The following is a 17,013-nucleotide window of genomic DNA, read 5'->3' on the forward strand; positions in this document are numbered from 1 at the left end:
TCTTAGAAGTGGCTTGTTTTTATGCATATATAGGTGGTTTTGCAGAAACAACTTCTCTGACATAACCATTTGCATTCTTGGGTCTCATGGCAATAGTTTGGGGCAACATGAATTTGAAGCATAGCTTTTACCATTCTGTTCAACAAATGTGTCTCCAGAGTTTAATGTTTGTCGGACACTGTACTAGACATGGTAAGCCTTACATGTTGAAATTTGGCAAAATAAATTTATCACTTTTTTATCTTTGACCTTGTTCTCCATAAACTCTCCCCAGTGTTGTTCCTTTAGTTTAAACTGCATCTTCTCAAACCTGGATTATAACAGTGTTGTCGTGTCTGTCCTCTGCCTCTAATCTTGACCACTCCCAATATACCGTTTATAGTCCCAACAGAGCCATCCTTCTAAATAGAAATCTGATTATATCACTTGCCTGCCTAAAACCCTTCAGTGACTTCCTATTGCTCTTGTGATAAAAAATTCCAAAGCCTTTAGCAAAACATAAAAGTTCTTAACTTCTCTAGCCTAATTTTCTACCTCCCCCATCTTCTCCTGTGCACCAAATCTATTTCATTTTCTCAGAATGGCAACTTGCTTTACATAGTTTTTCACGTACTTCTTATCTCTGAGCTGGTTATGGCTCATATTTTAGAACTCAACCTAAATACTACCCCCATGCAAACCATCCCTGACTTTGCGCTAAGTTGGGTACCCCTCCTGGATGCTTTCTTAGCACCCTGAATTCACCCCTACTGTAGGCCTTTAACACTGTGGTTTTATAAACACCTGTTGTTTTGACCAGCTCTACCATTCCAGTAAACCACTGGAGGGAAGGACTGTGTATTATTTATAACTTTACCTCCAGGGTCTAGCAGAGTGCCATTGAATGAGCGAATTAGCATTTATTCATTTATCCATCAAACATTTATCTATAGTATCCATTCTGTGGTACGCACTGTGCCAAGTGCTAGTTTGGTGGTGAACAAAAACATACATGGTTCCTGTCCTCATGGAACTGTGAGAGAGAGAGGCACAATTCACATAATTATGCACAATGTGACACCGCAAATGTGGCTGATGTTGTGAAGGAGAAGGAGATGGTATGTTGAGAGGGAGTTCCCTAATGTGATGGCACTTATATTGAGACCTAAAATGTTAGCAAGAATTAGCTAAATGAGGCTGGGTGGGAAGACTATTTTGGACACCCAGAGAAATCAGTGTGTATGCATAGGCCTTACAAAAGGAGGTACCTGGTGAGAACCAGTGATTGAAATAATCCTGTGTGGCTGCAATGAGAGAGTTGAGGCTGGAGAAGAGGTAGAGGCAGACCAGGTAGGGCCTTCAGGTCACATTGGTGATTTTCCCTTCCCCTTAAGAACAAAAAGAAGTCCAGTGTGGCTGAGGAGATGGAAGACTTTTTGAAAGCAGTGATGTCAAGGGAAACAGAGTACTTATCTATCTGTAATTATTTTATCCCAGAACCTTTGTTTATTCTGATGGTTATATATAGTTACCTTTATAGTCCATCATCTAAAATCTTCATTTCACCCTCTTTCATATGGGCCTTTTTGCTAGTCTTGGACATATGTAACTCAAACTTGTTTTAGTGGAAATAGATCCAGAAAGCATCGAGATGATGCAGGGTAACATGGGTGACTTTTTTTTACATAAGCTATTCTTTTGACCCATTCATCTGGCTAGTGTCCACATCCTTAGATTACTACAGGTTTTTTGGTAACAAGATTTGTGGATTCTTCTCATTATTACCCTGCTGGTACTTCTAATATGGACTTCAGTGATTTAGTCTAAAGAGGGCATAAAAATTCTGTGATGTCTCTACTGTTTTTCTCCTTTTTTACCTCCCCACAAATGTTTCTCATGTCTGTGAATTTACAATAAAGTGTTACATTTTTTTCATGGCTAAACAAGAGTTTATAATTGCCAGTAAGGGGAGTATATGCATGCTATTTTTCCTTTTCTAAAAATAAACATTTATTGAGAATCAGCTGTGCATCATGCACTCTGCTAAGGTATTCAGAATACAGAGAAAAAAAGATACAGTCCGGTCCTCATATTACTTACAGTCTAATGTCAAAGACAGATGAATACATACATAATTTCAGAATTAGTGTGACGAGTGTTGTGATAGAGGAAGTCATAAAATGCAAAGCAGGGAAACATAAAGGAGGAGAACTAACCTAACTTGACTTACTTATCTCACCTAGGTTGAGGAAGGAAAACCAACCAGAAAAGGTGAGGGTTAATTTAAGCCTTAAGGATACATAGGACTGAGCGAGAGAAAGAACAAAGGAAGAGTAGAGGTTATTCCGGGTAGAAGAGGCTATGTTGGCAAAGACACAGAAAGCATCAGTGAAAGAAACACATATGAGGCATTGCAGGTGGTTGAAAGTGGTGGTGGCACAGGATCCAAGCATGAGAGAGATTAAAGATGAGGCTGCAGATGTGAACAGAGGCCAGATCATGAATGAACCATAGTGGGGTCTTAGACACACAAATAGGGAGGAGGGAGAAAATTCTGTAGGCTCCACCTTAAGGTATAGCCAGAACCCAACCGCTTCTTACCATCTTCACTGCCACCACTCTGGTTCTAATCATCACAGTTTCTTCCAATGGTTATTTAGTCTTACTATCTTTTCCCTATTCGCCTAACACAGCAGCCAGTGTGTTTAGAACATAAGCAAACCATGACTCTCCTCCATTTCAAACCCTCCAGTGGTTTCCCATTATACTCATTCTACAAGCCTAGGTTCTGATAGTTCTCCGTAGTACTTATTACTAGGTGAGAAGCTGCATATTTTATTTATTTATGGTATTCATTGTTGTCTCCCTCAGTAGAATGGAGACTCCATGAGGGCAAGATTTTTTTTGTCTGTTTTATTCACAGATGTGTCACCAGCATGGTACTAAGTTGGCAGTCAATACTCATTGAAAGAATGAATGACTGAAATCTCAGATATATCATGGTATTCACCTCACTAGTCATTATTGAACAAATTTATTTCAGCTCATCCCACCTCTGCCCTCCTTTCCTCTGCCTTACACCACTCTCAATTCAAACTATTATGCCTTCCTGAAAAGAACTGGTTTTATGAATGTATATTAACCTATATCTATTCATAATCCCAAGTAGATTTTTGTTCTTAGCCAAGCCTGGACTAGGTGAATACATGCTTTTCTTTCTTGTACTAGCTCCCTTGCCTGTGATGAGTTCTCAGAACATGATTAGATCCATGTGCGTGAGCCAGGGGTGAAATCTTGGCATTTCAGTGAGAGGAGAGCAGTGTTGTGACGAACTGTAACAAGATCTGAATGATAACAGTCACCAGGTTCCTAGTGTAAATCACATCCTCATTTTTTAAAACCAACCTCTTTATTCCTTGGATTGGTCATACTCTGGCTCTTGGCACTGCTGCTTCCCTGCTGTGAAAATGGACTGCTCTATTTTCTCAGGCTCCATAGGGGTATCAAGTATTTGATTTCTTCATAAATAGAGCAAAGAAATAGAACCATAGAATAACATTGCGGACACATTTAACAATATTTATTTAATGAGTAAAAAAGCTAGATCTTTTGTTACATTGTCTGCTCTTCCAGTCAGTAAATGTTATTGTGACCATTGGGCAATGTTTGAAATCGGCCTATTCTGATTAAGGGAGTGTTTATTACGTTAATGGTGATATATAATAGATTGTTAAACATTTACTTTCACATATTATGAAAGCTGAGAAATGGCCTACATACCTTCTCAATCTTGCTTTCGGATCCTTACATAAGTTGAGTACTGTCTAGATGAACAGCATACTACTCAGCGCTGTCCAGTAGAGAAGGCAGGGTGCCTGCTTTCAAGGTGCTTATTATGTTTATCTTAACAAAAACAACCAGTACCACTACTGCCGCTATCACCATTTATTAAGCACCTATGACATTAACAACTACAGTTTAAATTGCTACAAGATGCTTTGCCTGTGTTACTTCATTGAATGGTCTTAAGTCCTCTATGGAGTGGGCATATATATCTCCATTGTTCTGATTAGAAAATTGTATACAGATAGGTTAGGAATAAACAAATAATAAGTGTATCTTTGACTTAAGTCTTAAACAGTTATTCAACACTATAGTACAGAAGGTCTCTACCATAGCAGCTATAAGATGCAGCTGTGTGTTTAATTGCTAGGGGGAATAATACAAAGAAGATAAAGTCCCCTCTTTCAAGGAGTTTAACTTACCAAGCAAAGCAAGTCAGTTTCCTTTGGTCATCTTAATTCCCCTCTGGAAATATGACTAGATAGCGAATATGAGTCTTTTCTTCACATGGTTTTGTTATCTCTTTCTACAGAAAGGAGCAGGGTATCACTTGGATCTCTTTTGGGTGGCCATCCTCATGGTTATATGCTCCCTCATGGCTCTTCCGTGGTATGTAGCTGCTACGGTCATCTCCATTGCTCACATCGACAGTTTGAAGATGGAGACAGAGACTTCTGCACCTGGAGAACAACCAAAGTTTCTAGGAGTGAGGTGTGTTAACTCAGAGGAAAATGGCTCCCGAAAACACACTGTGCACACATCTATGTGGCAATCATAAGGATATGGGCAGATTTGGAGGAGACAGGGCTTGTGATGATTAATTTATTCCTATATTTTTTGTTCCAGAAAGGACTAAATTTTCATCAGAGGTTTCAGTGATTTTTTTAGTTTACTCCTCATGATATATCATTTTCATGGATTTCCAAAAGGCTAAATGTTGCAATATAAAACTACAACCAGATTACTTTTTTTCAACATGCAGGTGATTTTGGTGCTGCAGTGTTTACTGTATCACAGTCATATGTGAAGGCCCTAAAACTCTTGAGTCTGCTTATGACTTTTAAGATTCTGTAATGGGAAAGGTATTCTTATTTTCCAATTCATTTTCTGTCCCCATAAACACTGAGAAACTTTAACCTCCAGACGTTCAATTTGGGTAGCTGTGAAGGGCAGGAGTAGAAGGTTTTTATACTCTGTTGAGCACTTTTTACAGCAAACTCTGCTCATAAGTGCTTGGGTAGAGAGCTCACATGACAGAGCCATCGTTTCCCACGGCAAAACAGTGGGTGATTCTTTTTTGGGGTGGGGAGGGGGTGTAGGATGGGAATTATATTTGTTGAAAAGTACTTTTGTTGTTGTAGATTTGGAAATTAGACTGATGTGATTTATTGTGCTAATGAAATTTCCTTGAGCTGTTTGTTAATTGGAATATGGGACAATGTAATATCTGTCTCCTATGAAAGAAGGTGTAAGGGTAATTACACAAGAGGATAAATTGCTTTAAAAAATAAGGTCTTCAAAGAGTCCAGTAATTGATGGACCAAGAGCAAGTGATTTTTCTTTCTTGATTCCAAAAGGAGCAAAAAATTTAGCAGGATTACTTCTTTCTTCGTGAATTCAAATCACATATTGCAGTCACTTTAAGAGATTTTTTTATAGTTACGTTGGGTTTATACGCTATCCTTGAGGTATTATTTACATGATATCAACACCTTTGTTGTTTTAGCCAAACATTGATTTTGTCAATGTGTAGTTTTTTTGAAGGTGAAAAGACAAGAGCATGTTTATGAAGACAAGAGGTAGATTGGTAATCTTTTGATTTGGTTTCAGGGAACAAAGAGTCACTGGAACCCTTGTGTTTATTCTGACTGGTCTGTCAGTCTTTATGGCTCCCATCTTGAAGGTAAATATGTGAAACATTCACCTCTTCCTTCTCAGAACACTGACATATAATTGGACATGTGAAGAGTGAAATTCCTCATGAGATATTTGCGAGATTCTCATCAGTTCTGTAACACACTGAAGCAGGGGTCAAGTAGAAAGAGAGCTTTAAATAGCTTTTGTCTTGATTTCCTTCTCACTCTTTCATCCCCTCCCTTATCCTTAGTTTTGCAGTTATTTGATTGAACTATATTAAATTAACAATATCCAAACTTTCTGATCTGTGAAAATAGTAGTTTCATGCAATTGAATCAGACTGATCTTCTCCCCCTCCTCCACACACACATTTTTTATTCTCCTTGTCTTTTATACATTCTTTCTTCTATCACCTTCCATTTGCTTGTATCCAAATCTTGTCCCTCTTCCCTCATTAGGCTCCTAAATAACATGAGTGATGCAGGATAACCATTTTGATATTTTTCGACTATTCTTAATTATTACTTTGTTTCTATTTTATTTGAATCAGATGGCCTTATAATTCACAAAGGTAAATTAGAGTAAAATTACTGACTCATAATTAGAAAGCTTTAGAAATGAACTTTTGAAGAAGAAAAATTATATGATATTGGTTGTTTAGAAAATTAGGGGTCAATATATAGGTTTATTGATGGGTTGGATATCTGCCTAGATAGATAAATGCAAACTGTATGTGACAACCTATTAAGAAGTAAACTAAAACTAAAAACTAAAGAAAGTTAGTGTATACCTCTTCATGAAGTTTCCAATTTTCTTTTATGATGCAAACATTTTATTTTTTTCAATCATATAAACATGCTTGCGAATTATTGATAGTTTGTATCTTATGCTTTATACTACAGTACAAAGCATGCAATTCACCCATGGACCTAACAGCTATAAACAACCACTGTTAACGATATCCTTCCAAATTTTCTCTTACAATTTTTATTTTTAAACATTTTAATTTTAAAGGCTTTTAAAATGCTCATATAATTACATAAGTAATGGGGCAGTACAATCTTCTGAAGAATTCAAACAATATAGAAGTACACATAGTGAAAAGCAAAAGCCCTCTGTTCATCTAAAGTTAGCAAATTTTATGTCAGTTGCCAATCAGATGAAATTGAGGAAAGTGGAACTGTAATATCTTTGATCTGTAAATAAGACTAAGATTGCCTTCAGGGTATTTAGACTGATGTATACAGTATGCACAAAATACTTGTTAAACAGTTAAAATATGTAATTATTCATCTTTTTTCCTTGGTTTCCACAATGTCAATGAACTGGTTTAATTAATTTCTGACTGGATTCATGAGGAAATATGTATCTCATCTTAGACAAGACATTAAGATTAAAAATAACCTCAGAAAAGTTGTTTCTGACTATGTACAGAGGGCTGTAAAAGAGTACAGAGCTTATGTTCTGCAGGGACAGAGGGAAACCTTTTGTCACCTTTGCCAGTGCAAAGCAAGTTATGGGATAAGTGTGAAGATGTGGTGACTTTCACAGCATTGAATCTGCTGCCAAATGCTTTATGTTCTTCCGTTATCCTATAGGCACCAGCACATCAGCTGGTGGAAAGCCTAATGACAGTGTTACCTTTTAGGCAATGGAACCTCATCCAGTGAGATCATTTTTAGAGAGTTCACTGCAGACAATTATGAGCCCATGTTGTGAGAAGCTCTCCTGGAAATGAATTTTCCCTGTGGGTTCCTTGAAGGTGGGCTCACTTCAAGTAGGTGCAGAGTTTCTTTTATGAGCTCTCTTTGTGCTCAGTCACTAGTGAGGGATAAATGGGCAGAATCTTTTCATCAGTTCTAATTTACTCATCGCCTCCCCCATTTTTCTTTTATTTTTATATTATTTCTTTTCATTAATACAGTATAAAATCCTAATTCAAAAAAGTCAGATGTGTTTAAAAGTTCCTTTTGTGTGTATATGTTACAGCAAATTGGCTTTATTCCTAGAGAATCTGACAGTTGAGTAATCATGGATGATTCCAAGGGGACACAGAGAATAGATACTGTATAATTACTATTTTTAGGAGAGATGCAAGACTTACATTTTCAACAACGCCTCTTCCTAACTATTTTCTCACCCTGCACCCAAATATGGCTGCAGAGGAGTTAAAGCTGAAAGTTCTTTTGTTCTTTACAATGATTCTTTTCACCCCTGATAGGCAAAGTGCCTTAGTATTTACAGAAACAGATTAGAATGAGAGAAAGAAGGCAGAGAGCTGTAAGAGATCAGTGAGCATGAGCTTTCTTTCCCTTTGACCTTCCTTAATTGATCCATACCTGGGCTCATCCTCATTCAGCTGCTAGTGTTCATGATTGTGGCTATTTCCACCTGGCAATTTTGAGTTACCCCAAGTAGTCATTGTAAGAATAAATGAAAAATGCAGTCCAGCAAACGTTTTTGTTAAGGTTTTCCCCAAAATGTGGGAAATGGAATTGTTTTGGCAATATAGTTTATAGCATACTGTACACAACCTATATTTAAAAACAACAAGAATAAAACAGTCAAGGATTCGCAGTTGTGATTCTTTACTTCAGTAAGTTAGGCTATTCCTTACTTCGGGAATCACAACTCCTGATAAAGTCAGCTACTTTCAGATTATGTACCATTGAGGTTTGGTAAGTTAAGTGCGTTTATCACAAATCCCTTGTTAGCTCATTTGAAAAGTCAATACAGGAAGAAGCAGATATTGAGGGTACAGTTTAACTAAAACCTAAGTTATGACTAAGTAAGAGTCAAGATTAACAATTAACCTTAGAATTCACAAAGAAAGTGGTGTCAGGGGTTATGTTGGAGTAGGAAACCTTTTTTCCTCCCCTTTGTGACTATGTGTTTTTTTAGAGAACCAGAGGACAACTTAAGAGAATCATTTTACTTAAGAGTCTGTCTTTGAAAGGGCAGATCAAATGAATGGGAAAAGAGAAATGTGTTACTTTTACTTTTTAAAATGAAATGGCTCAACACCATTTCTGCAAACTCCATATATCCCTCACAAGTTTAATGGTCTCAGATGATCCTAGTAATTTTCTTTCATGCATTAAGCAGTGTAGGAAGTTGTTTCTCCTGCCTGTTTATGCAAGCTTACTTTGAAAATGAAGTTTTTCATTTTTATTCTGATCTCTTTGCTGAGGTCCGTCTTTTATGTGGAAGAATGTAAGGAATTACAGTTTTAAGTTCACGAGGATACCCCTTGACCCTAGCCAGCAACAGTCATACATGCCTCAAAGCACTGAATCTAACCACTGATTCGGTACTGAACTGTTGGGAAGCAAGAATAACTGGCGCCCCTGGCTGGTTAAACAGCTTAGTTCTGTGTTTCTGCAGCAGAAATACTGCCTGGTAAGTGAGTATTCTGTATGGGGAAACTAGAGGAGGCTAAAGAGCATCAAAAAGATGAAAGGCACTTCCTTGAGCTTACTTTTACCATTTTTCTGGCAAGTCTGAAGAAATAAAAATCAAGTGAAGTTCACTGCTACTTTTGTTGCCTTTGCTTGAAATAGTTTAATTCAAGTTAATTAGGAGTAGTCAAATTTATCTTTAAGATTTGTTTAGTGTTCTAAAATCAGGATAGCATTTAATTTGTATTTGGAAAATATTTGTTGAGCTTCTACAATATGCCACAATATGTCACTTTGTTCAGTGCCAGGGAAAGCAAAATGGTAGAGATGATGGTAATGGTGATGATGATGATGATAGTAGTAGCTACCATTTATTGAGCTCGGCATTTGATTAAGGGCTCAACACAGATTTTTAAAATTTAGTCCTTCAATGAATGACACCTACAAAAAATTGTCTCTCTTTTACACATAAGAAAATTTATTAATGACTTACCAGGTTACAAAGTTCGTAAATAATAGAGTCAAAATGTGAATTCAGGCAGTTCTGACATGAAAGCCAATCTCATAACCCTCAGGGTTTACAACCATTTAAAACAAAACATAGTACTTGCTCTCAAAGAACTCATTCACTTTCATTTTCCATGAGATGATCTTCTCCAGCTTCTTTGATCCAACTTCCAGTCCTTTCATGTGCAGATAAATACAGCATTTTCACAAACTCCTCATCATACCTCATTCCAGTTTCTTCAATGACTAGGAACCAGATTGCAAGTCAGTACTTCCTTATCAGCTTAGATTTTCAAGATTTAAGGGAATTAGGATATTATTTGAATAACATGTTTCTGAATATAGTTGTTACTGCTGAAAGGGCAATATAGTAGAACTTAAATAAGACCAGGGCTTTGAATCTGACCTTTGCAGCCATTCTTCTGGTCTGTACTCCTGCCATTTTCCACCCTGACCACTGAGGACCAAGGAGAGTTCTGCTGGGCAATTGCAGCAGGCTTCTTGACTTGCCAGTCAGGTCTTCATGATAATTATGACATTAATACCTCATTTATCATTTATTATCTATTCAGAATGAGGCCCTGGACTAGATATTTTATGTGATATACTCTTTATCATACCCTCTTTTAAATGAGAATACTGAGGATAAGAAAAGTTAGTAATTTCTCAATGTTACATAAGTAGTAGGGCCAGAATTTGAAACTAGGCCTGTCTGACTTTTGTGCCCATGCTCTTAATCAGGATCTCGTTCTGGATTGTACATTCACATGTACACACACACACACATACACACACACATACACACACACACATACAGTGACGATTATTCTGCTAGAAGGTCTCACTGCTGTACTGAATTCTGGTTGGACAACTACACTCTACCCTTATTTTTAAATTTACCCTTTTCTCGTTTACTCTTCTGGGAATATTCAAATACTATCAGCACATCAAAGGGAGGTATAAGTGAAAAAGAGTAGAACTGCATTCACCAGAATTTGAAAAATTTGGTGACATGGTCTGAGTATGTTAACTCCTATTTTGATTTTATCTCAATTATTCCATCTGCTTGTAGGGTCAATACTTGATTTCATGTATGGTAATCTTATTTATAATTATACTTTTGTGCTTTCTGGGTATGATTGGTTATCCATAAAATTTCCTTTACATAATTTTATCATTTGGCAATTCTTGATATGCCTGTATGGTATACTTTGTGCTGTTTATGTTTTAATTACTCCTGTCTTGCTTTGTAAAAATATCTACCTACTATTACTATGTAAATTATACTGGTTTAACTTAAGATGGAGTTCCATCTTCTTAAAATGCATCTTCTCTTTCCTCCTTTGAGAAATTTCTATTGCAAGAAATGATTATTTTGTGATGAATTTTTAAGGATTGACCTCCTGTGACCCATGAACTAAATCCAATAAAAAGTATCCTCTAACCCAATAATTCTGTCAAGTTTCATCAAGTTTTCCATATTGGAAGATTTTTATTGAGATGTTGCATTATCATAAGGAAAATGGCAAATTTCAAAAGACATATTTTTATCACATTGAAGTTGGCCCAAAGTCAACTTAATAGCCTTCTTTATATGTATTATTTCCTTTTCAACAAAGAATAACTGTTTAAAAAACATCTTCATATCTAAAGCTATTTTTCTACCCACAACCCATGCCATTCTATGTTACTGATACCTTCTGATTTTATTTTGTGGTAGATTTGGTGATATCTGTAATAATAAATTCACAGAGAATGGAACTAAGCACCAAGGCAAAAGTGTCCTTCACTTTGACATTAGAACCACATTAGAAAAAACATTTAGCTAAGCCTAGCTGAGGGATGAGGATGAGGCCAGGGATGGTCCCTTTGTGGTGGCTTTCTTTCAAGCAAGAAAAATGCTTTACCCAGATTAAAAAGGAACTACTGCAGGAATTCTAACTAGTTTTCCATGGTTGAACTATACTTCTCTTTTCCCTTCTTACTTTTCTTTCCTTCCAGCTGCCCCACCCCCACCACCCACCAAATTGAAAATGAAATGACAAGAAAGAAATATGGGAGATGTTTAAAAAATGAATCAAAGCTATGCAATGATCCTTCTCTTAGTTTTTTTACTTTATGGTACATTTATACACAAGAATCACAAGGAATAGAAACATGCACATTGCAAAATAAATGAAGGCATGTGTCAGAAATAAAGAGGCTTGAGTGTGATGTGTTCACCTCTTTGTGGTGACTGTTAGGTATTACAGCTTCCCCAGCAGGAACATCATCCCTCCTACCCCCGTCAACATTCTATGTCACTTTTAGTTTTTTCTGACATCAAGAGCAAAATTAGCTACATTAAAATTGTTAGTCTTTTTTTGAAGAAGCATTTGATGTTTTGTATATATAAATAAGGATATTTATTTCATATAAATTTAAGCATCCCTATGGCTAGCCAATAAAAATTGGAAATATTTGTTACACATTTTAGAATTTACTCATTCTCTAATAGTGGCCAAAGAGTCTCAGATATGGAACTACTTTAGGCAATCACAAGGAGAGGCTGATAGAAATTGTGCTTCACTTAGTACGTGCAGTATTTTTAAAATTACTCTAAAGCCATACTATGTTTTCTGGTTACAATAGCCTCCTTTATGTGGATTTGGTAAGATTGGCCTTAATTGACTTGCGGTTTTAGTATTTTAGCTTTGAAAAATCCTGAAATTACTTGAACTTCTTTTCAAATTCTAAGGTTGAGAACCTTTTGTTTTTCAAACAGAAGACTTCCCAGAAACAGAATCATCCTTGATTTGCTTAGTTTCCTCAGTACTAGGGACATTTCAAAGGTCTAGGAATAGATACAGTTTACAGACATCACTTCTCCTTGTTAAAACACTTTGTATTAATATAAAATATTTTTTGCTAATGCATGAAAAGGTATTAATTCAGTTTTAAAAGATGTGTATTAATCCATGTGTGTAATTAATTGCTTCCAAGTGCTCCAAGGTCCTTTCAAGCAGTTCTCTTTAGTTAGTTCTCATAATATTTGCAAGAAGCGAGGGGATAGTCTTTTGATGTTTATTTTATTGAAAGAGGCATCTATATACCAAGCTGATAGACTATTTGGCAAAAATTATTAAGGACAAAAATGAACAGACTATATTGAAAGGAACTTGATCTCAAGAGTGAGGCAACCATCTATTAATACCTCTGTTTCTGTCTACCTCACAGTCCATAGAAGCATCTTGTTTACATAGTTATTCCTTTTCAGGGTGAAGGGAAACATAACTTTTCCTCCATTAATTAAAAAAAAGTTATTAGTAAGGTCATGCATGCTCACTAAAAAAACAAGCATCCAATGAAAATTGAAAGTCCATTATACCCTTCTTCATTTATTTCTATTACAAAGAGTTTAGAAGTTCATCAATTGACTAGTAAAGCATACTAGTTAGAGGTCACTAAGTTATTATATCCTATATTTTAGTTTTAGATTTAGCCTTTATTTAAATGATTCCTCTTCATTCCTCTTTTTTCTTGTTATCATTTTTAAGTTGTATCCATTTTTTTCCTTCTAGTTTATACCCATGCCTGTACTCTATGGTGTGTTCCTGTATATGGGAGTAGCATCCCTTAATGGTGTGCAGGTAAGTTTTTGAATAGCAATGTAAGTACAGTAGTGTTTTTCTAGTAGTAAGAATAGTCCAGTAACAGATCTTTGAAGAAAAGTGCTAATCATTATTAACTGCTGAGTTTTTAAAATGCATTTATTTTCTACTTCACCATTCACCTGCTTTTCATTTCTGGTTTAATCAACAAGTTAGCCAGTATTAAGAAAAGTTGCCATACATACCCATTGTTTAAATAGGCTGTTAAAAGTCATTTAACCAAGAAAGCAAGAGGCTATAATCTTTCTTTTCCTTCCCCTTACCCATCTTTATCTCCTTTTTACTGTCTCAGGAAGGATACCTAACTCTTTCTGTGTGTTCTTAAAGATAGTGTTTATCCATTTGCCTTAACTCTATACTAAAAACAGGCTATTGATTTGCTTTTCACATGGCTATGATCAATAATCAAAAGTTTTTTTACCAATAAAAGAATAAAGTCAATGTGGTTGATGTATTGCTTTTGTTGAAAACTTCAGCTATTCATAACTTTGGGAAAACTGACACACTTTTAATAAAATCATTATCAACTGGGCATGGTGGTGCACACTTTTAATCTCAGCTACTTGGGAGGCTGAGGTGAAAGGTTCACTTGAACCTGAGTTTTAGTCCAGCCTCAACAACATAGTGAGACCCTGTCTCTTTAAAAAAACCAAATCATTAGGGAGAACTTTGTAAGGGACTTTGTCTTTCAATTGGGTTTTAATTAAATTGGCACCAGGAAACTGGAAGTACTTATGCTGTTTTCTGGCACCTTGTTAACTGTAGCCTTATTTAGCACTTAGTAATATTTTAATGGGAAAAGACTGCATGTCCTGTGAACATCATAAGAATTTATTTGAACCCCTTCAAAATAGTCCTTGCTTTTGCTTATTGAATTCAGATTAATTTGGTTTTAAAGTCAGATAGAACTGGGCAAGTGGCCAGACTACCAAAAAGAGAAAAGGCTACTTTACTTTTCTCTGTTTAGGTCTGCTGAGTAGAGTTCGTCATCTTTTGGATATTTGTTACAAAATACAAGGTGGTTCTTCATAGAGTGGACTAGATGAATGTGAGTTTATTTGTGCTCATGAAACTTTTGGGAAGCATAAATCTGTAAAAATATTTTATTTTTACCTGCCATTGTAAATATTCTTTATTTCCCAAAATGGAAAAATGTGAAACAGAAATGGCCCACAGACAAATAGTTCTTATTTTTATTTGCTCTTAATTACCTGGTCTAGATCAGAAGTTTAATTCTATGTGTTTTAGGGGCTTTATTGGTTGAAACTCAGTGCATGTTTATTTAATTAAAAAGAAGAAAAAATCAACCACATAATAATGATGGGGAAAAACAACCAGGGTCCAGCTAGTAGATTTCTTAAATTCTGCAATGCTATTGCCCCTAATGGCTTTTCTCTTTCTTTCTTTCTCGATTCTCCCTTGTTTAGACCTTTTTGGTAAGATTTCATTTAGAAAATTTTGTAATTTGTAAAGAAATTTTGTAACCCAAACTTTATAAATGAGAAGGTCCTCACCAGTCAAAAATAGTTCTAGAGGGAAAAAGAAAACCCTTTAAGTAGGAAATCACTAGAGAAGATTGTGATGGTCTAATTTACTTTTGCACTTCTTTCCCTCCAGAAAGAAAATAGAGATATTATTTCAGAGTTCATATTGCATGATTATTCAATTCAATAGCTATTTACTGAGCATCTTTCATTGAAAGATCCTGTGATAGGTTCTTGAATATCTTCCCATTCGTCACTGGCAAGGTCAATTCGGCAGTTATTCTTTGAAGCACAGCACCTGACACACAGATGCTCAGTAGTTATTTCAATAGCTGTTTATACATCACCATACGATAGCATCCCTTAGATTCAGATGTTGACCCTGAAACTCACTGTAGTATTCATATGGCTTTTCTCTGAAAAGAAATGGTGATAGATTGCTGAGTGTATTAGTCAAAGTATGCCACTCAGATAAGTAATATGGAATTTATGAAAACATAATGTATTCCCATTTTTAAGTTGGATACTTCCTTTATATCCTTAAAACATTCTGGAAATGTATTAATATATGATGCATAGTGTCATCTCCTCTTTGTTCAGATAAGACAACTGAGGCAGAGTAAGATACATGAGCTAGACATCTTCCTTCAGCATATTAGTACTAAAATAGGCAAAAGATCCACTTTCCTGAGACTCAGAGAGTAAAAATAGAAATTAGGAGATGAGCTCCTAGAATTTTTTTTCTTTGTGACCTTATTCTTTAGTGGCCACTTTTTCTTATACATCTACATAACATTCCCGCAATATAATAATAAAGATTTGAAGACTTGTGCTTTAGTGTGCTTGACTAAATTTCTGCATTCCTTGACCATTCCTTTGTCCTCTGAAAAGGACACTGCTTGCCTAAATTATAGAATATAAATCAGTAGTGATTAGTTAGGCATAGTGGAAATGTAATGCAGTAATGCAGTTGGACTCCTTTCCTCTTTCCTCCCCAGTTCATGGATCGTCTGAAGCTGCTTCTGATGCCTCTGAAGCATCAGCCTGACTTCATCTACCTGCGTCATGTTCCTCTGCGCAGAGTCCACCTGTTCACTTTCCTGCAGGTGTTGTGTCTGGCCCTGCTTTGGATCCTCAAGTCAACGGTGGCTGCTATCATTTTTCCAGTAATGGTAGGGATTCCTTTAATTGAACGTACCTGTGAGATTATATGAGTATCATGTGGTTATTGTTATATGGAAGACACACATGTCTTTTATGTGTTGTTCCAAATTTTTCCAGCTTTGACCTCATCACTTTGATCAGTTGTAATTTACATTTCCCATGTTTATGGTTGTCTAGGATGGACCTTAGAATCAGGCTCACCTAAGTTCAGATACTGGCCCTCGTTCATGCTCAGCAGTAAACTTCTTTGAACTACTATTACCTCATCAGTAAAATGGGAGTTGCATTGTTGTTTTTCTGAGCATCAAAAATTAATATCAAGCATGTAGCACAATGCCTGACACATAGTAGACACCAGTGCATGTTAATTACTTTTTAAATGTTGTATAATAGAATTAATCTAAGTAAGAGTGTAGGACATTTCAGTTCAAGTAATAAAGAAGTGCTTGGCAACTTGTGAGAACTCATCCAGTACATTAGAGGAAATGGAGTGAGAAGTTCACTTTTTACATTTCTTGTGGTTTGCATAATGGTAAGTTTAAAGATAAGGTGGGACTCTCTATCCTTGTCATAGTATGATGAGAAACAAGGTAAAGCAACTAACGTTTCACTCTGAGTCACAAGTGAAAGAAGAGAAAAAGGAGTTCTGTATTTGGCATCACTACTGAATTTTATACTTTACCATAACTCTTTACTTCTTGCAAGAAAATGCATATATGTACACTTAAAACAAGTCACAAAGGGAGCCTCAAATCTGTTTTATCTCCCCCACAGCTTTGAAAACAGAATTTTCCTACACTTACCACATTTTATTTTTATAAGAATCCTCTTACTCTTAGCCAGTATTATTATTTTATTTTTCATATTTGTTGTTTGAAATTTTTTTCGTCCAAGGATGCAAGAAAAAATGGATATTAAATACTAGTGATATTTGTTAGGTCAGATTTTTTTCTTAATGGTGGCTTATGTCTTTCTTTCCTTTTTTTAAAAAAAAACTATATTAACTTACTGAAAAGCACACTGAGTATGAGAAACACTCAAATATACCTATTAGTGTTATCTGCCTACCTACAAATTTTGCTGAAACCAAGAAAATTGAAGCTAGACCAGGATACATTTGAATTATATCCA

The 17,013-nt window shown here is 35.8% G+C and overlaps 1 protein-coding gene across 13 annotated transcripts in view; it reads left to right on the forward strand.

Annotated features, from left to right (window-relative positions):
• Positions 1-17,013, forward strand: part of SLC4A4 (solute carrier family 4 member 4) — a 509,424-nt gene that overhangs the window by 479,336 nt on the left and 13,075 nt on the right. For all 13 annotated transcript variants that reach the window (XM_024454268.2, NM_001440628.1, NM_001134742.2 and 10 more), the window contains 4 exons: positions 4,355-4,533; positions 5,653-5,725; positions 13,145-13,213; positions 15,717-15,890. In XM_024454268.2, the coding sequence (XP_024310036.1) occupies positions 4,355-4,533; positions 5,653-5,725; positions 13,145-13,213; positions 15,717-15,890 (495 nt within the window). The remainder of the gene's footprint in view (positions 1-4,354; positions 4,534-5,652; positions 5,726-13,144; positions 13,214-15,716; positions 15,891-17,013) is intronic.

Source organism: Homo sapiens, chromosome 4 (assembly GCF_000001405.40).
Source record: "Homo sapiens chromosome 4, GRCh38.p14 Primary Assembly".
Taxonomy (NCBI): Eukaryota; Metazoa; Chordata; class Mammalia; order Primates; family Hominidae; genus Homo; species Homo sapiens.